This window comes from Homo sapiens, chromosome 16 (assembly GCF_000001405.40).
Source record: "Homo sapiens chromosome 16, GRCh38.p14 Primary Assembly".
Classification (NCBI taxonomy): Eukaryota; Metazoa; Chordata; class Mammalia; order Primates; family Hominidae; genus Homo; species Homo sapiens.
In genome coordinates, this window is record NC_000016.10 from 66,873,259 (window position 1) to 66,892,245 (window position 18,987).

At 48.0% G+C, this 18,987-nt stretch overlaps 1 protein-coding gene across 8 annotated transcripts, besides 4 other annotated features; it reads left to right on the forward strand.

The window, feature by feature from the left end:
- Positions 4,771-4,820: an enhancer, noted in NCBI's record as "active region_10942". NCBI's record gives its function as "activates an Ori minimal core promoter by ATAC-STARR-seq in GM12878 lymphoblastoid cells {active_cell/tissue: GM12878}" and the evidence as "EXISTENCE:reporter gene assay evidence [ECO:0000049][PMID:35858748]".
- Positions 6,971-7,050: an enhancer, noted in NCBI's record as "active region_10943". NCBI's record gives its function as "activates an Ori minimal core promoter by ATAC-STARR-seq in GM12878 lymphoblastoid cells {active_cell/tissue: GM12878}" and the evidence as "EXISTENCE:reporter gene assay evidence [ECO:0000049][PMID:35858748]".
- PDP2 (pyruvate dehydrogenase phosphatase catalytic subunit 2) lies at positions 7,257-17,843 on the forward strand. 8 transcript variants are annotated; one of them, NM_001329933.2, is made up of 3 exons: positions 7,257-7,498; positions 9,757-9,844; positions 10,973-17,843. In NM_001329933.2, the coding sequence occupies exon 3, from the start codon at positions 11,027-11,029 to the stop codon at positions 12,614-12,616; it is 1,590 nt and encodes a 529-aa protein (NP_001316862.1). In that variant the 5' UTR covers positions 7,257-7,498; positions 9,757-9,844; positions 10,973-11,026; the 3' UTR covers positions 12,617-17,843. The 8 variants fall into 8 exon arrangements, with proteins under 8 accessions (NP_001316862.1, NP_001316857.1, NP_001316861.1 ...); NM_001329928.2 differs by having other exon boundaries at positions 7,257-7,406; NM_001329932.2 differs by having other exon boundaries at positions 7,257-7,382.
- Positions 7,299-8,071: an enhancer, noted in NCBI's record as "H3K27ac-H3K4me1 hESC enhancer chr16:66914460-66915232 (GRCh37/hg19 assembly coordinates)". NCBI's record gives its function as "activates a minimal SCP1, AML or CMV promoter by ChIP-STARR-seq in naive H9 embryonic stem cells {active_cell/tissue: H9 hESC(naive)}" and the evidence as "EXISTENCE:reporter gene assay evidence [ECO:0000049][PMID:30033119]".
- Positions 7,531-7,710: a silencer, noted in NCBI's record as "silent region_7570". NCBI's record gives its function as "represses an Ori minimal core promoter by ATAC-STARR-seq in GM12878 lymphoblastoid cells {active_cell/tissue: GM12878}" and the evidence as "EXISTENCE:reporter gene assay evidence [ECO:0000049][PMID:35858748]".

Genomic DNA, 18,987 nt, shown 5'->3' on the forward strand with positions numbered 1-18,987 from the left:
CTCCTACAGCATGCGCCTCCTGGGAGCGAGCTCGCCGGGCCGCGCCCCCTGCTGGCCGTGTCCCCTGAAGCCTCGGCCGCAAATGCGCGCCGCTTGAGCCTCGGAGGTTCGGAGTCTCCTCTCCCAGCTTCCTCTTCTCCGTCCACGCCCACCAGACTTTTAGGCCGTTCTACTCTCCAAACTACCCTTCTTGAAAGGATGTGAGTCATTTGCCAATTGGAGTGCAAACGACAACCACAAAGCCCACACAAATGCCCTTCCATGTAGTTTTACTGAGGCTCAGAGGAAGTGACTGGCCCGCAGGGTCACACAGCAAGTAGGTGGCAGAGCCGGGCCTCAGTCCTGAGACCCACAGGGTGATGGAAAATTCTTCTCTCTCCTCCCCCTTCTCCTCCTCTTCTTCTCCTACTCCTCCTCCTGTCCTTCTTCCTCCTCCTCCTCCCCCCTCCTCCTCCCCCTCCTCCCCCCTCCTCCCTTCTCCTCCTTCTCCTCCTCCTCCTACCCCCTCCTCCTCTCCCTCCTCCTACCCCCTCCTCCTCTCCCTCCTCCTCCCCCTTTCCCTCCTCCTCCCCCTTCCTCTCCTCTCCTCCCTCCTCCCCCTCCTCCCTCCTCCTCCCTCCTCCTCCTTCCTCCTCCTCCCTTCCTCCTGCCCCCTCCTCCTCCCTTCTCCTCCTTCTCCTCCTCCTCCTTCTCCTCCTACCCCCTCCTCCACTCCCTCCTCCTCCCCCCTTCTTCTCCTCTCCTCCCTCCTCCCCTCTCCTCCTTCCTCCTCCTCCCTCCTCCCCCCTCCTCCTCCCTCCTCCTCCCTCCTCCTCTACCTCCTTCTTCTTCTTGTTTTCTTCTGTTGGCCTGTCTCTGTTGCCCAGGCTGGTCTCAAACTCTTGGCCTCAAGGGATCCACCTGCCTTGGCCTCCCAAAGCACTGGGACTACAGGCATGAGCCACCACCCCTGACCAAGGTGATGGAAAATAATGAGCCCACTCCTGAATAAGGCCTGATTGGGGATGAGTGGGACTTGATGGTGGCAAAGAGAGCAGTTGCTTTGCCCCTAGGGCACAGATCACTGCAGTCTTGTGTGCAGCTGCTCTTTCTGGTGAGTGAAAGGAATTGCCCCTCTTTGGAAAAGAGGCTGAAAAACACAGGTCATATTTCCCCCAGAGAGTCTGCCCATCCTCCTCTACAGGAGAGCAAGCCTTAGCATTGGCTTTAGCTTGAGGCACTTAAAACAACAATTTTTAGGCCTCCCGACAACCTGGTAAACTTGTTGGTGGTGTTACTTCAGAGGAGATTTGAATAAAGGGCTGAAGAAGGACTTGTATTTTTCAAAAATTCTCAAGCATTTTTCACTGGCACAGCCTCAAGCCTTGCTAAACCATCCCTGAGCTAGCTGCCCCACAGGGAGGGGTAGCTCTTCTGGCTTTATTCAGATGCTCTGGGGAGTGAGAATGCCACAGAACTACTGCAATGACAAACTTTTCTGCTAACTGACAAAGAACAAAGACACTTGAGATTTTTACAAATTGTCCTAGATATCAGCGTGGACGTTACAGCTTTTTTTTTTTTTTTTTTTTCCGCAACATAATTTTGCTCTGTTGCCCAGGCTGGAATGCAGTGGCATGACCTCGGCTCACCGCAGCCTCCACCTCCCGGGTTCAGTCGGTTCTTGTGCTTCAGCCTCCTGAGTAGCTGGGACTATAGGCATGTACCACCACACTCACTTGGCTAATTTTTGTATTTTTGTAGAGACGGGGTTTCACCATGCTGGCGAGGCTGGTGTCAAACTCCTGGCCTCAAGTGATCCGCCCACCTCAGCCTCCCAAAGTGCTGAGATTACAGGCATAAGCCACTATGCGTGGCCGGATGCTACAGCTTTAACAGTGAGATAGAAACTGGCTGCCACTGTCTCAGGTCTTCCTGACACAAGATCATCCTCAAATCCAGCTTTCCTAACATTCCATAGATGTCTTGTCTGTAGCCAGGCACAGTGGCTTATGCCTATAAGCCCAGCACTTTGGGAGGCCAAGGTGGGCGATCACTTGAGCTCAGGAGTTCAAGATCACCTGGGCAACATAGTGGGAGTCTCTCTACAAAAAATTCAAAAATTAGCCATGTGTGGTGGTGTTCGCCTGTAGTCCCAGGATCGCTTGAGCCTGGGAGGTTGAAGCTGCAGTGAGCTGTTCCTGCGCCACTGCACTCCAGCCTGGGCGACAGAGCAAGACCCTGTCTCAAAAAAAAAAAAAAAAAAAAAAAAAAAGTCTTGTCTGCATAGGTGAGGAATCAGGGGACTTTGCAGGAATCATCCAAGAGGTCCATTTCTTTACCCCTGTCACTCACCTGGGTGGTTTTGTTTTTGTTTTGTTTTGTTTTTGAGACAGAGTCTTGCTTTGTCATCCGGGCTGGAGTGATCTCAGCTCACTGCAACCTCTGCCTCCTGTGTTCAAGAGATTCTCTTGCATCTGGCTGTTTTAAAAATAGTGTTGCAGCTGGGTGCAGTGGCTCATACCTGTAATCCCAGCACTTTGGGAGGCTGAGACGGGCCGATTGCCTGAGCTCAGGAGTTCGAGACCAGCCTGGGCAATGTGGTGAAACCCCGTCTCTACTAAAAATACAAACAAACAAACAAAAAAATTAGCCAGGCGTGGCAGCGTGTGCCTGTAGTCCCAGATACTTGGGAGGCTGAGGCAGGAGAATTGCTTGAACCCAGGAGGCAGAGGTTGCAGTGAGCCAAGATTGTGCCACTGCACTCCAGCCTAGGCAGCAGAGCAAGACTCTGTCTCAAAAAAAGAATAAATAAATAAAAAATAAAATAAAAATAGTTTTGCTTTTCCCCCCCTCATTATACAAGTTATGCTAGATGGAGTAATGTATATTTACTGTAAAAAATTTGTAATGTTCACCTTTGTCTCTTTAGGATAAATTGAAATAAGTAGAATTAGTGGATCAAAGGTATGCCCATTGAGTAGCCTCCATGTATGCTCTGTATTAGTCAGTTTTCACACTGCTATGAAGAATACCTGAGACTGCATAATTTATAAAGGAAAGAGGTTTAATTGACTCACATTTCCGCATGGCTGGGGAGGCCTCAGGAAACTTACAATCATGGCAGAAGACAAAGGGGAAGCAAGACACGTTTTAAATGGCGGCAGGCAAGCAAGAGCACAGGGGAAACTGTCTGTTATAAACAATCAGATCTCCACGAGGTCAGGAGATCCAGACCATCCTGGCTAACACAGTGAAATCCTGTTTCTACTAAAAATACAAAAAATTAGCCGAGAATGGTAGCGGGCACCTGTAGTCCCAGCTACTTGGGAGGCTTGGGCAGGAGAATGGCGTGAACCCGGGAGGCGGGGCTTGCAGTGAGCTGAGATCGCGCCACTGCACTCCAGCCTGGGCAACAGAGCGAGACTCTGTTAAAAAAAAAAAACAAAATCAGATCTCGTGGGAACTCACTCACTATTATGAGAACAGCATGAGGGAACAGCCCTTATGATCCAATCACCTCCCACCAGATCCCTCCCTTGACAAGTGGGAATTACAATTTGAAATGAGATTTGGGTGGGGACAAAGAGCCAAACCATATCACACTCCCTGCTAAGATGGCAATGCTCTCTTGCCAATGTTATGTATTTAAACCCTGTTTTAATATTTACCAGGTTGACTGACAAAAATTAATGGTTCATTTAATTAGCATTTCTTTTTCTTTTATTTATTATTATTATTAATATTACTTTGAGACAGGGTCTGGCTCTTTTGCCCAAGGTGGAGTGTAGTGGCACAATCTTGGCTCACTGCAACCTCTGCCTCCCAGGCTCAAGCCATCCTCCCATCCTCCCACCTCAGTCTCCTGAGTAGCTGGGACTACAGATGCATACCACCACGCCTAGCTAATTTTTGTTTTGTTTGTTTGTTTGTTTGTTTGTTTGAGACAGAGTCTCACTCTGTCACCCAGGCTGGAGTGCAACCTCTGCCTACCAGGTTCAAGCACTTCTCCTGCCTCAGCCTCCTGTAGCTGGGATTACAGACACAAACTACTACACCTGGCTAATTTTTTGTATTTTTATTAGAGACAGGGTTTCACTATGTTGGCCAGGCTGGTCTCAAACTCCCGACCTCAAGTGATCTGCCCACCTTGGCCTCCCAAAGTGCTGGGATTACAGGCGTGAGCCACCGCCCCCAGCCTAATTTTTGTATTTTTTGTAGAGATGGGGGGGTTTCACCATGTTGCCCAGGCTGGTCTCGAACTCCTGAGCTCAAGTGATCTACCTACCTCGGCCTCCCAAATTGTTGGGATTACAGGCATGAGCCACTGTGCCTGGCCATTTCTTTGGTTTTGAGTGAGGCTGAATATTTTTACATCTTTTCTCTAAAAATGCCAATTGAACAGCTGGGCACAGTGGCTCACGCCTGTAATCCCAGCACTTTGGGAGGCCAAGGCAGGCAGATCACAAGGTCAGGAGTTTGAGACCAACCTGGCCAACATAGTGAAACCCCCTCTCTACTAAAAATACAGAAATTAGCCGGGTATGATGGCACATGCCTGTGGTCCCAGCTACTTGAGAGGCTGAGCCGGGAGAATCGCTTGAACCCGGGAGGCGGAGGTTGCAGTGAGCCGAGACCACACCATTGCCCTCCAGACTGGGTGACAGAGTGAGACTCCATATCAAAACAAAAACAAAAACAAAAACAAAAAAAACCTGCCAATCGAGCTATGCTTTCCCTTTCTCGAAGGAGAGAGAAGTAATCCTTTTCCATCGTATTTGCTTATAAGACCTTGGGACAAGGAAGCCTTGAGAGATCCGGTGAGGGACTTCGGCTGGCCATCCTATATAGGGTGACTGAACTGGTTATAGCCTTGAAATGAAAGTTCCAATGCACATAAAATCCTCCAGGGTGCATTTTTACTTTGGAAGTGGGTGTGTGTGGTAACTTAGAAAAACTCAGTGGTTTCAGGCTTGGTGGAATGATGTAATTTTTCTCAGGAAAGTGGCGGGGGCCGCCATCTGTGTGTCTCAGCAGTCAGCCCAGGGCCTGACACATTGTGGGCACCCATAACACCTGCAGATTGAATAATTAAACACTGCTGCCTCTGTCCGGAAGGGTAACCCGTTGTGACCCTATATGACCTGTCTGCTGGGGGGAGGGAAGAAGTGTGCTTTTGCATTCTCTTGCACTCATTTATTAGAAACCCTTAGACTTTTTTTTAGTTTGGGTCTGAAACAGTCCTCTTAATATGCAGGAAGAGAGATATTGCCAGTCCTGACTTTGAACTTCTGGAAAGGGCTAAGGGTGAGTGGAACTATAAATATACAAGGGCAAGTCTGACATGAGCAGTTTTATTGTGACCACGTCCTTGGGTCCAGGAGGCTGGCCAGGCTGCCCAGGTAAGCCAGGGTGTCTTCCTTCTGGAAAACCACACTCTCAGGGCTCCAAGTGGCTTTTTCTGGTTGTCTCCCATTTTTCTCTGTCTCCAGGGAAGGACTCCATCTGACTTACCATAGTTACAAGAGTTCTGTGAAAATAATTTATAAGGAAGCAGGTCATCACTGGAATGCCACAATGTTAGGACCAGAAGGGACGGAGGGATTATCTGGTGTCGGGGTTCGCTGTCTCTCTCAACCTACCAGCCGCCAGCCGTGCTGAGTTAATTGTCAGTAGCAGGCCAATATAATGGTCAGTTCAAAGCTTAATGGTTTGTGGGAAACCACTAAAGACTTTAGGGCAGGAGGCCGGGCGCGGTGGCTCACGCCTGTAATCCCAGCACTTTGGGAGGCGGAGGCGGGCGGATCACGAGGTCAGGAGATCGAGACCATCCCGGCTAAAACGGTGAAACCCCGTCTCTACTAAAAATACAAAAAATTAGCCGGGCGTAGTGGCGGGCGCCTGTAGTCCCAGCTACTTGGGAGGCTGAGGCAGGGGAATGGCGTGAACCCGGGAGGCGGAGCTTGCAGTGAGCCGAGATCCCGCCACTGCACTCCAGCCTGGGCGACAGAGCGAGACTCCGTCTCAAAAAAAAAAAAAAAAAAAAAAAAAAAAGACTTTAGGGCAGGAATTTGAGGGTTTTTTTGGTTTGTTTTTGTTTCTGTTTTTGTTTTTTTTGAGACAGACTCTCACTCTGTCTCCCAGGCTGGCGTGCAGTGGCATGATCTCACCTCAGTGCAACTTCCACCTCCCTGGTTCAAATGATTCTCATGCCTCAGCCTCCCAGGTAGCTGGGACTACAGGCGCGCACCACCACTCCCAGCTAATTTTTGTATTTTTAGTAGAGACGGTTTCGTGATGTTGGCCAGGCTGGTCTCAAACTCCTGACCTCAGGAGATCCCCCCGCCTCGGCCTCCCAAAGTGCTGGGATTACAGGCAGGAGCCACCGCACTCGGCCTTGGAATTTGAGTTTTAGAAGTGTCATTCTGCCAGGCGTGATGGCTCACGTCTGTAATCCCAGCACTTTGGGGAGGCTGAGGTGGGAGGATTGCTTGAGCCCGGCAGTTTGAGACCAGCCTGGGCAACATAGAAAGACCTTGTCTCTACCCACCAACCACGAGAAAAGGTGGGAGGGGCGTCATTCTGGCTGCTCTGCTCTGTGGTTAGGACCAAGTCAAAGGTGGAGGAGGGAAAACCGTAAAATCAAGTGAGAGGCTTGGAATAGGGTGGCTGCGTCGCCGGATGGATGAGTGGAGAGAGATTTAGGAGATAGGATTTACAGCATTAGATAACTGGAAAGAGAGGGTGAGGGAGAGGAAGGAGTCAAGATGCCTCCCAGGGTTTTGGCTTGGGTCTCTGGGCAGATGGTGGGGCCATTACTGGGTTAGGAGAGAAGAGAAAAAGCAAGTTTGGCAGAAAGCTGAGTTTGGGGTAAGTTATGTTTGAGGCGCCTGGGGGCCTCCAGAGGCAGGTGTCCAGGTGGCTGGACATCAGGGTGTGGCGCTCAAGAGAGGGTTCTGGAGTGGTCGACACCGAAGTGGAGAGGAAGCAGTGAGGTGTTCTAACAACGGTGAGGAATTGGGGAGGCCGCTGGGTTCGGGGTATGCAGAGTGTAGCGGCCACGTAGCTGGCGATCTCAGGCACGTGACTGCCTGGTCCTGTGGCCCCGCGCTCGAACACTTTCAGCACCCAGGCAGGGGGTAAGGGGCGGTGTTGCCCCCTCCCGGGTCCCGCCTTTCTGCCCGCCTCTCATCCTCTTTAGCCATTGGGCAATACCTCTGTCCATCAAGGGCCCGCCTCCGCAATTGAGCCAACCAGGGCTGGCGGGAGGGCGCTTCCTTCTGGAGCTGGGTCCTGACTAGGGACCGCCTGGGTGAGGTGAGGACCTGGTGGCCGCAGTTGTGGCACTGTGCGCAGGCGCTGAACTGACCGGACGGAGCGGGCGGCTGTGGCCTCGCCAGCTGGTGAGAAGCGGGCGAGGGTCCGAGGTAGGGAAGGTAACGAGCGGGGGATGTGGACACCTCTTTCCCCGCCAGGCCTCGCCGGCGCCTGACCCTCCCGGCCTGCGGCACCGGCTCAGGTGACTGGGCGGAGGGAGAGCTGAGGTGAGGGGGCGGGTCCGCGGCGGAGAGGGACCAGCTGGGCCTACGACCACGGTCACCCCACTCACGTGCGCGCGCCACGTGGGCCCGCGGGCTCGCCGAGGACCCTTGGCTGCCTACCGGGGCACCCCACTAGCTGCTCTGGCCTATCGAGCACCCCTTGGAGCTCTGTGTCCCGACTGCACGCCCCTGTTTTACAGGCTGGCAAGCCGGGGCTCAGAGGCACCAAGCGGGTCGCCCGGGGGCACCCAGCTGGGGTACGGCCGTGCCGGGGTTCTAGGGAGATCGGTTTTGGTGGGCTCCGGAGTCCATGCACTTAGCGATGAGGCTGAAGTCAGAGATTTGAACTTGGGACCTGTCTGTTTTCTTTAAGGATGCAAGAGGGTTTGCGTCCTGGCTGCGGTGTATCACCCTGCACCGCTGCCTGCCTTGACTGCAGGGCCGGAGCGTCAGGCGCCCTCTGCTCCCGGACAGACCGCCCCCGCACCGACTTCTGCGGGGTGGGCTGGCAGGGGGTGGGGGAGTGAAGGGACGGTCCTCAGTCCTGGGAACTCTTGAGGTCCCGACAAATGATCTCGAGATCCCGAGGGCAGGATTCATACATGAAAAGCTCATTATAATGGGTCAAGGTTTTGTTCTGTTTTTTTTTTTTTAATTTAATTTAATTTAATTTAATTTAATTTAATTTATTATATTCCAAGGAAAAGTACCACCAGGGCTAGTGAAGGGACTAGGAAACTCGTCACCCCCTTGAGGAGGCAGATGTGAAGCTTTTGGAAATCAGTTTGGCAATGAGTCTACACCCTTGGACCTACTGACTCCTTGTTTGGGAAATAACTAGGATAAAACCTAAGTAGAGAAAAGGTTACTGCATAAAGCAGTACAGTTTGGTGGGGTTTTGTTGTTGTTGTTGTTTTTAAAGAGACAGATCTGGCTCTGTCGCCCAGGCTGGAGTGCAGTGGTGTGATCATAGCTCACTGCAGTCTTGAAATCTTGGGCTCAAGCGATCCTCCCACCTCAGCCTCTTGAGTAGCTGGGACTACAGGCACTTACCACCATGCCCAGCTAATCTAAAAATTTTTGTAGAGATGGGGCACTTGCTGTATCACCCAGGGTGGTCTTAAACTCCCTAGCCTCAAGTGATCCTCTTGCCTTGGCCTCCCAAAATGCTGAGATTATAGGCATGAGCCACTGTGCCCAGTCCAGTTTGGTATTTTATATTAATAAATAGCAAGTAGTAGAAACAACCTCTAAATTTCCAGCCGTAAAGAATAGTTAAGTAAGTTGTGATTATTTATGTCAAAATGTAGCCATCAGATGTGAAAAAATACTCTTATCAGGAAAGCCAGATTCAAAGTTGGGGTTACAACTCTACAAAAATACGTACAGAATGACTGTGCGCAGTAGCTCCCACCTGTAATCTCAGCACTTTGGGAGGCCAAGGGCGGAAGATCGCTTGAGCCTAGGAGTTTGAGACCAGCCTGGAAAACACGGGGAGACCCTGTCTATTAGCTGGGCCTGGCGGCACATGCCTGTAGTCCCAGCTATGTAGGAGGCTGAGGCAGGAGGATCCCTTGAGGCCAGAAGGGCAAGGCTGCAGTGAGCCACGATCTTACCATTGCACTCTAGCCTGGGGACAGAGCCAGGCTCCATCTCAAAAACAAAACAAAACAAAAAAAAACCAAACAAAAAATACCCAGAATGACTTAGAGGGGTATATACCTAATGATGAAAATAATAGCTACTTTTTTTTTTTTAGCAGAAGCGTCATATTTTATTAAATTCTCACAAAACCTTCTAAGACTAATATTCCCATTCCACCAATAGATAACTGGAGTGTTACCTCATCAGCAGTGTGTCTGATGCTACACAAGATAGTATCACAGCTAGTGTGCTATTGGGCCTCTGAAAATGTCATATTTAGCCAGTATTTGAGGACTTAGTGTGTGCCGGGTACAGGGCCAGGCACTGGAAAGCTGTTGGTGAGTAAGGCAGCCATAGTTGCTTGAGTCATGGAGTTTATAGACTAGTGGGGAAATATACATGTATATAAAATTTAGTTTTTGAGACAGGGTCTTGCTCTGTTGCCCAGGCTGGAGTGCAGTGGCAGGAGCACAGCTCATTGCAGTCTTGACCTCCAGGGCTTAAGCAATCCTCTCACCTCAGCCTTACAAGTGAATGGGGCTATAGGTGTGCGCCACCATGCCCAACTAATTTGTAAAAAAATTTTTTGTAGAAACCAGGTCTCCTTATGTTGCCCAGGCTGGTCTTGGAACTCCTAGGCTCAAGTGATCCTCCCGCCTCAGCCTTTGGAGTGGTTACAGGTATGAGCCACTATGCCCGAAGCAGATTATTTATTTATTTATTTATTTTTGAGACGGAGTTTCGCTCTCGCCCAGGCTGGAGTGCAGTGGTGCAATCTTGGCTCACTGCAAACTCTGCCTCCTGGGTTCACGCCATTCTCCTGCCTCAGCCTCCTGAGTAGCTGGGACTACAGGCGCCCATCACTGCACCCAGCTAAATTTTTGTATTTTTAGTAGAGACGGGGTTTCACTGTGTTAGCCAGGATGGTCTCGATCTCCTGAACTCGTGATCAGCCCACCTCGGCCTCCCAAAGTGCTGGGATTACAGGCGTGAGCCACCGCGTCAGGCCTGTTTTTGTTTTCTTTGAGACAGGGTCTCACTCCCTCTCTAGTGAGGCCCAGGCTAGACTGCAGTGGCACAATCACTGCTTTCTGCAGCCTCAACTTACCAGGCTCAGATGATTCTCCTACCTCAGCCTCCCAAGTAGCTGTGACTATAGATACACACCACCATGCCTGGCAATTTTTTTATTTTTTTTATTTTTTTGGAGAGACAGGGTTTCACCATGTTGCCCAGGCTAGTCTCGAACTCCTGGGCTCAAGCTATCCACCCACCTTGGCCTCCCAAAGTGCTAGGATTACAGGCATGAGCCACCAGGCCTGGCCCCCGAAGCAGATATTTAAATGAACACTTATAGTCTGCTGGTGAGAGTGAGTTTAGTGTATTTTAAATAGTTTATTCTAAGTCATTTTTGTTCAGGATATTAGCAAATGTTTTCAGAAGTCAGTATTTTTAAGAAATTAAATTTGTGGCTGGGTGCTTTGGCTCACGCCTGTAATCCCAGCACTTTGGGAGGCCGAGGCAGGTGGATCACAAGGTCAGGAGATCGAGACCATCCTGGCTAACATGGTGAAACCCTGTCTCTACTAAACATACAAAAAATTGGCCAGGTGTGGTGGCGGGCGCCTGTAGTCCCAGCTACTCCAGAGTCTGAGGTAGGAGAATGGCATGAACCTGGGAGGCGGAGCTTGCAGTGAGCAGAGATCACACCACTGCACTCCAGCCTGGGCGGCAGAGCGAGACTACGTCTCAAAAAAAAAAAAAAAAAAAAGAAATTAAATTTGAAACTTCAACTTTTTAATTTTTAGGTTTAAAAATATCCTTTTTTGCTGAAGGAACACATTTGCTGGTATAGTTTCAGAATGTCAAGTACTGTGTCCTACTGGATCTTAAATTCTACAAGGAACAGCATTGCCACATTGCAAGGGGGTAGACGCTTATACTCCAGGTATGTCTCAAATAGGAATAAATTAAAATGGAGGCTCTTTTCCCGGGTGCCACCCACCCTAAACAGTTCCCCATGTGGTGGCTTTACTCTGTGCAAAGCCTACAGACACACATCAACAGAGGAAGATGATTTTCACTTGCAACTCAGCCCTGAGCAGATAAATGAAGTGCTTCGAGCTGGCGAGACAACCCACAAGATTCTTGACCTTGAAAGCAGAGTCCCAAATTCAGTGTTGCGGTTTGAGAGCAACCAGCTGGCTGCCAATTCCCCAGTGGAGGACCGGCGAGGTGTAGCCTCCTGCCTGCAAACCAATGGACTGATGTTTGGCATCTTCGATGGACATGGTGGTCATGCATGTGCCCAAGCAGTGAGCGAGAGGCTCTTCTACTATGTGGCAGTGTCCCTGATGTCCCACCAGACCCTGGAGCACATGGAGGGAGCTATGGAAAGCATGAAACCCTTGCTGCCCATCCTGCATTGGCTCAAGCACCCAGGGGACAGTATCTACAAGGATGTCACATCTGTGCATCTTGACCACCTCCGTGTCTATTGGCAGGAACTGCTTGATTTGCACATGGAAATGGGACTAAGCATTGAAGAAGCATTAATGTACTCCTTCCAGAGACTGGATTCTGACATCTCGCTGGAAATCCAGGCCCCCCTGGAAGATGAGGTGACAAGGAACCTGTCACTCCAGGTTGCTTTCTCTGGGGCAACAGCTTGCATGGCCCATGTTGATGGAATTCACTTGCACGTGGCAAATGCTGGTGACTGCCGAGCCATCCTTGGTGTCCAAGAGGACAATGGCATGTGGTCTTGTCTGCCCCTTACACGTGACCACAATGCCTGGAACCAGGCCGAGCTGTCCCGGCTAAAGAGGGAGCACCCTGAGTCAGAGGACAGGACGATCATCATGGAGGACAGGCTACTGGGCGTCCTCATCCCCTGCAGGGCCTTTGGGGATGTTCAGCTGAAGTGGAGTAAAGAGTTGCAGCGCAGCATTCTGGAGAGGGGCTTCAATACCGAGGCCCTCAACATTTACCAGTTCACACCCCCACACTACTACACTCCACCCTACCTGACTGCTGAGCCTGAGGTCACATACCACAGGCTGAGGCCCCAGGATAAGTTCCTTGTGCTGGCCTCAGATGGCCTGTGGGACATGCTGAGCAATGAGGACGTGGTAAGGCTGGTGGTGGGGCACCTGGCTGAGGCAGATTGGCACAAGACAGACCTGGCCCAGAGACCCGCCAACTTGGGGCTCATGCAGAGCCTGCTGCTGCAGAGGAAAGCCAGCGGGCTCCACGAGGCTGACCAAAATGCAGCCACGCGGCTGATCAGACATGCCATCGGGAACAATGAGTATGGGGAGATGGAGGCAGAGCGGCTGGCGGCGATGCTGACATTGCCAGAGGACTTGGCGAGGATGTACAGGGATGATATCACTGTCACTGTGGTGTATTTTAACTCAGAATCAATCGGTGCATATTACAAGGGGGGTTAAGAATCTCCCATCCTATTGTCAAGGTTAACATAAATGCTCTTCTAAAATGTTTCACTTACTCCTAAACTAGCTATCCAAACCTTACTATTAAAAGCGCAGGCAGATTTAATTTGCTAAATAGACTAACAGGAGGAAAAAAACAAACAGCCTAGCTTTAAAAAACAGTGAAATAGCAGTGATTTCATGTCCCTGTATGTTCTGATTAAGTCTTATATGCAGAGAGGACAGAGCATAAAGTCTATAGAATTGGCTTGGGCTTGTGTAGCCCCAGTCATTTGATAAAGATGTTGTTAAACTGTGTCAGCCTGAGCCTTCAAAGGGTAAATTTAATCATGATTCTGAGAATAAAGAACTTCAGGAGCTTCTTAGGTCTTGCCACAAAAATCTGCAAATTTGATAATTCTCCTGAATTCACAATCATGGACTTGTAGACTATGAAGAGATATTTTATTTGTTTGTCTTTTATTTAAATTACTAAGGTCTAGGTTTACAAAGCATACTACAGGACCCTTTTCTATGCAATATCCTAACTTTTTTTTTTGTGATTATGCTTGTGAGAAATTTTGTAATACTACATTCTAGTTCTGTTTTCGTTTATTTTAAAACTGAATCCTTAAACTTGCAAACACGCCTACTGTAAGCATGCTTGGAATGACTTGTTTTGGTTTTCAGCTGATAGGATCTATGCCTCTGGACCAGCTGAACTTACTGGTGCAGCTTTTTGTGCCCTCTACTGAGTCCCATTCCAGAAACTTTGAGCCATGCTAGGAGGTAACTAGTCTATGCCTTAACTCCTGACCTTTCCTGCATTAGTAAAATTTCCTCCTGGGCTGAGCCTTTGGGGGTTGATTCACAGCATTTAAGCTTTCTGATTATACCTCTCAAACATTCTTCTGTCAATTCCACACAATCCTTCTACCTCTGCTATGCTGAACCCCTCATTCACCCTGCACCTGCCAACTGCAAAATATTGTCTGAAAGAATCTTTCACATGTTCCTGCTTCCTATGGCTGCAGGAAAGGAGAAAATGTGATTGCATGTGGTAGTTGTGGTGATAGACGTTTAGACAGGACAGGTTAATTTAGCGGATTGTGGACTTAAGATTCAACCTCTATCTGGAGAGGTGAAAACACAAAGGCTTAAGGACAACAGTTTCTAACCAAGTTTCTCTGAATCCTTTCCTGAGAGGTGGTGGGCAGGAGGGAGGAGTGAGACTTATCAGATGGGACGCTTGCCCCAAGACTGTGGGATAAACCACCATTGCTAGTCCTCAGGAATTAGACCATATTTAGTATAGGAGTTGGGGCAAAAATAAAAGTGTAATTTGTAATGGTTTCTGTGGGCTGTAGACTCTTTGTATTTACTTGGAAATTCAGTTATGTGGATCCATTTTGGAGATGAATTTCATCTCATGAGTTGCTGTGGCATTTAAACAACAGGAAATGTGTCCCTAAATGGAAACAAATATAATCCCACAAAACCAACAATTTTATTTGCCTCTACTACGTCAGGCAGAATTCTTCAATTAAGTTGAACTACATTTGTTGATCCCTTTTCTCATCTTACCCCTTTATGCCACCTACTGAAAAGAAAAACAAATAGCTAGGTTTGGTTTCCTGTTTTTTGTCTATGTCCCAGCTGACATTCAGTCAAATGTTGGGATACTTCTAATTTGGTGGTGTTTCTTTGTACATTTTTCAGTGCAACTGTTTAGTCATGTGTTTTCATCTAAGAAATTATCTTTTGAATATTTAAGCCTTGATCCTTTTATTCTGAAACCATTAATATTCCTTCTTGGCTGGGTGCAGTAGTTTACGCCTGTAATCCCAGCACTGTGGGAGGCCGAGGCGGATGGATCACCTGAGGTCGGGAATTCGAGACCAGCCTGACCAACATGGAGAAACTCCATCTCTACTAAAAATACAAAATTAGCCAGGTGTGGTGGTGCATGCCTGTAATCCCAGCTACTCGGGAGGCTGAGGCAGGAAAATCACTTGAACCCGGGAGGCGGAGGTTGCGGTGAGCCAAGATCGCACCATTGCACTCCAGCCTGGGCAACAAGAGTGAAACTCTGTCTCAAAAAAAAAAAAAAAAAATCCATCTTATCTCTTAGTCCGTCCTTCCTTCCTTCCTTCCTTCCTTCCTTCCTTCCTTCCTTCCTTCCTTCCTTCCTTCCTTCCTTCCTCTCTCTCTCTTTCTTTCTTTCTTTCCTTCTTGACAGGGTCTCCCTGTAGCCAGGCTGGAGTGCAATGGCATGATCTTGGCTCACTGCAACCTCTGCAGCCCAGGCTCAAACGATCCTCCTGCCTCAGCCTCCCGAGTAGCTGGGACTATGCACCACCATGCCTGGCTAATTTTTTTAATTTTTTGTAGAGACAGGGTTTTGCCATGTTGCCCAGGCTGGTCTCAAACTCCTAGACTCAAGCAATCTGCCCACCTCGGCCTCCCAAGGTGCTGGGATGATAGGCATGAGCCACCGCACCCAGCCTATCTCCTAGATCTTGAATCAAAAATAAAATGTAAATCACTTCCATTCTGCTAGCATGAGGGTTTGTTGCTAAAATTGAGGATTCTATCTGACGTTTACTTTTTGTTGTTTTTTGAGACAAGGTCTTGCTTTGTCGCCCATGCTGGAGTGCAGTGGCATCATTATAACTCACTGTCAAACTCCTGGACTCCAATGTTCCCTCCCCTTTTAGCCTCCCAAGTAGCTGGGTCTACAGGCATGAACCATCAGGCCCAGATAATTAAAAAAACTTTTTTTGGTGAAAACATGATCTTGCTATGTTGCTCAGGCTGGTTGTCTGGCATTTTCTTTGTCCTTTATTCTTTATACTAGCTAAACCCTGGAGTATCCTTGAAGCCTTTACTGGCATACAGAGTACCTGAATCTTACTTTGGAGCCTAGCATGGGTCATAAATATATCTGATTCATTAACCTGTGAGACAGCTGAGAGAACACAGACTCCTTACCTGTATCTCCAGGCATATCTGGTTTTTCTCTGCCTAATAGATTTTCCTGCTTTCTAGTTAGTAATATTGAGAAAGAAGAAAGGCTTATTTATCATTTGCTTTTTTTCCACTGTGAATCATCTGTTCTTTCCATGAACATTCTGGGGAGCACCTCCTGATTAAACTCCTGTCTCCCTGACCACTATCCTGCTGTCATTGGACTTCTTGAAGCACATGGGCTACTGCCCCAGGACACTGGGATTTGAGAGGAGTTTAGTGGTAATTGTCAGGTCTTTCAAAGCATTTATTATTCCTTTTATACGGAGATTTCAGTATTGAGACTTAAAATGAACTGAAAAATGAGATTGAACATTTAATATTTTGGATGTAACTTTTGAAGAAAGTATGCTTTGGTGCTTAAAATTGTATATGATTTTAGGTAAGAAACTTTGATAATATTGGCATAATTTAGATTTATTTTCTTTCTTTTTTTTGAGACAGTCTCACTCAGTCGCCCAGGCTGAAGTGCAGTGACACAGTCTCAGCTCACTGCAACGTCTGCCTCCCAGATTGAAGTGACTCTCGTGCCTCTGCCACAGAGTAGCTGGGATTACAGGCATGCACCACCACACACCGCTAATTTTTTGTATTTTTAGTAGAGACAGAGTTTCACCATGTTGGCCAGGCTGCGAACTCCTGAGCTCAAGTGATCCTCCCACCTCAGCTTCCCAAAGTGCTAGCATTACAGGCATGAGCCACCACACCTCACCAGATTTTTAAAAAATATATAACTGCATCTCTCTTGATTCTGGGGCTTGGTAAAAATGGATAGATAAGATAGTATTCTAAATTCAAATTCGTGGCTAGGCACAGTGGCCCACACCTGTAATCCCAGCACTTTGGGATTCCAAGACAGAAGACTCACTTGAGTACAGTATGAGACCAGCCTGGGCAACATAGATCTTGCCTCTACAAAAAAAAAAAAAAATAGCCAGGTGTGGCACATGCCTGTAGTCTCAGCTGCTTGGAAGGCTGAAATGAGAGGATCTCTTGAGCCCAGGAGGTCTAGGCCAGAGTGAGCTGTGATCGTGCCATTGCACTCCAGACTGAGTGACAGAGTGAGACTGTGTCTAAAAAAAAAGTTTGAATTAAAAAAAAAAAAAAAAAAGTCGGCTGTGCACGGTGGCTCATGCCTGTGATCCCAGCACTTTCGGAGGCCAAAGTGGGTGGATTACCTGAGGTCAGGAGTTTGAGACCAGCCTGACCAACATGGTAAAACTCCATCTCTACTAAAAATACAAAAATTAGCCTGGAATAGTGGCGCATGCCTGTAATCCCAGCTACTTGTGAGGCTGAGGCAGGAGAATCCCTTGAACCCAGAAGGCAGAGGTTGCAGTGAGCTGAGATTGTGCCATTGCACTCCAGCCTGGGCAACATGAGCGAAACTCCATCTCAAAAAAACAAAAACAAAAAACAAACTCAAATTAGCATGATAGATCAGGCTACTTAGATTCAGCTTTCTGAGATGTTATTTGTTAACATTAAGGCTAATTTATTATAATGAAAATGTAAACTTTGAGGTATGTTAATATATAAACATCTTTTTCCTTTGGCCTAAAAGGTCTTTAGTATTCAGCACACTGGGTAAAGTTCAGTTTAGACACAATCAAATTGGCATCTTTTAAACATAAGTGAAATATAGAGAGCTTGAACTTGAGTTACTTAAAGAAGATACAGTATAATTAATTATACAGAACAAAACAAAGATGTGTTTAGAGTGACTCTGGCCTGACTCTTGTCCATCAGCCCCTAGTAGCCTATCTTCAGCCTTTGGGAAGTCTTAACTTCCCAGGTTAAACTAGAATATTCTGGAACTGAGCTGTCCAAATTTCATCTTAAAGTGGATCATTTGACTCTGAAACACGATTCTCATGGCAGAAAAAGCCCTGGTGTTTCCTTGGAGCTGGGGATAAAGGCCAGTGAGCCAGCCTGTGATGAGAGCTGCCCCTGGCACTATCTGAGTGGAAAGCTCATTGGGACAGCCATGCAGCTATCAGAGCCGACTGAAGCCCTGTCCCTTACCCCTCAGGCACCTGATGCTTAACTTGCCTCCTGGGAAATAATGATCTAGCATTTACTTGGAACAATGATTAATCATGTTCTTTAATAATTGCTGACATTTGTATTTTAAGCTGTATACCAATGTTCGTATTTGACATTGATTTTCTAACCATTAGAGATATTTAATTAAAACTTGGAAATGAAAGAAACAAAATGAAATTTAGTTTCTTTTGGTTTGAATCCTAATTTTTTTTTTCAGTCCTTAAGGTACTAGATTAGGCCAACCTTTGTTTCACCACCTTTATCTGACCGTGGAAGATTTTAGGCTGTTCAAGAGTCCACCCAAAAGAGAAGTATGCTGCTCTGCAAAGGTTTGGTGGCTGTTGCCCAGGAAATCCTCATTTAGTGTTGACCGTGTGTGTGGAGACCTGAAAGAAGTGAAGGCTTTTGTTGTGAGGGTCTCCACACACTCAGGGCCAAAGCCTGCCAGAATTTCATACTATTTAACTTGAGACATTAAAACCAACTTGGCACATTACCCCCTCGCCCCGGAAGAGAGAAGTGGGCAGAAGTGGAAGGGTGCAGTGGCTCATGCCATCATGCCCAGCCAACCCTCCTTTTCAGCAAGATCAAATTGATGCCCAGAGGTTGAAAAACACCCACGACACAGCGGTAGGGCCAGGATTTGAACCAAGTCCAAAGTCCCAATACTGGGCTTTCAGGAAGGGAGAATTATGTACAGTTTTTTGCACAATTTTGGCCTGGAATGAGTGGGGCTGGGAGGAGAGGTTGGTGGTACTGAAAGGAAGCTAGAAGGCTTTTGGGGGGTTATTGCTGATAATAGCATAGTTTTATGGGCAGAGTGTGGTGGCTCACACCTGTAATCCCAGCACTTTGGGGGGCCAAGGTGGGAGGATTGCCTAAGCCCAGGAGTTCGAGACCAGCCCGGGCAACATAGTGAGAACCGCCCCCCCCATCTCTACAAAAATAAAAATAAAAATTAGCCAGGCAAGGTGGTGTGTTCCTGTAGTCCCAGCTACTTGGGGGACTGAGATGGGAAGGTTGCTTGAGCCCAGGAGGTGGAGTCTTCAGTGAGCCATGATTGTACCACTCCACTTCAGCCTGTGCGGCCAAGCGAGACCTTGTCTCAAAAATAATAATAATAAAATAAGACTGGGTGCTGTGGCTCATGCCTGTAATCCCAGCACTTTGAGAGGCCAAGGTGAGCAGATCACCTGAGGTCAGAAGTTCGAGAGCAGCCAGGATAACATGGTGAAACCCTGTCTCTGCTAAAAATACAAAAATTAAATGGGTGTGGTGGCACACAACTGTAATTCCAGCTACTTGGGAGGCTAAGG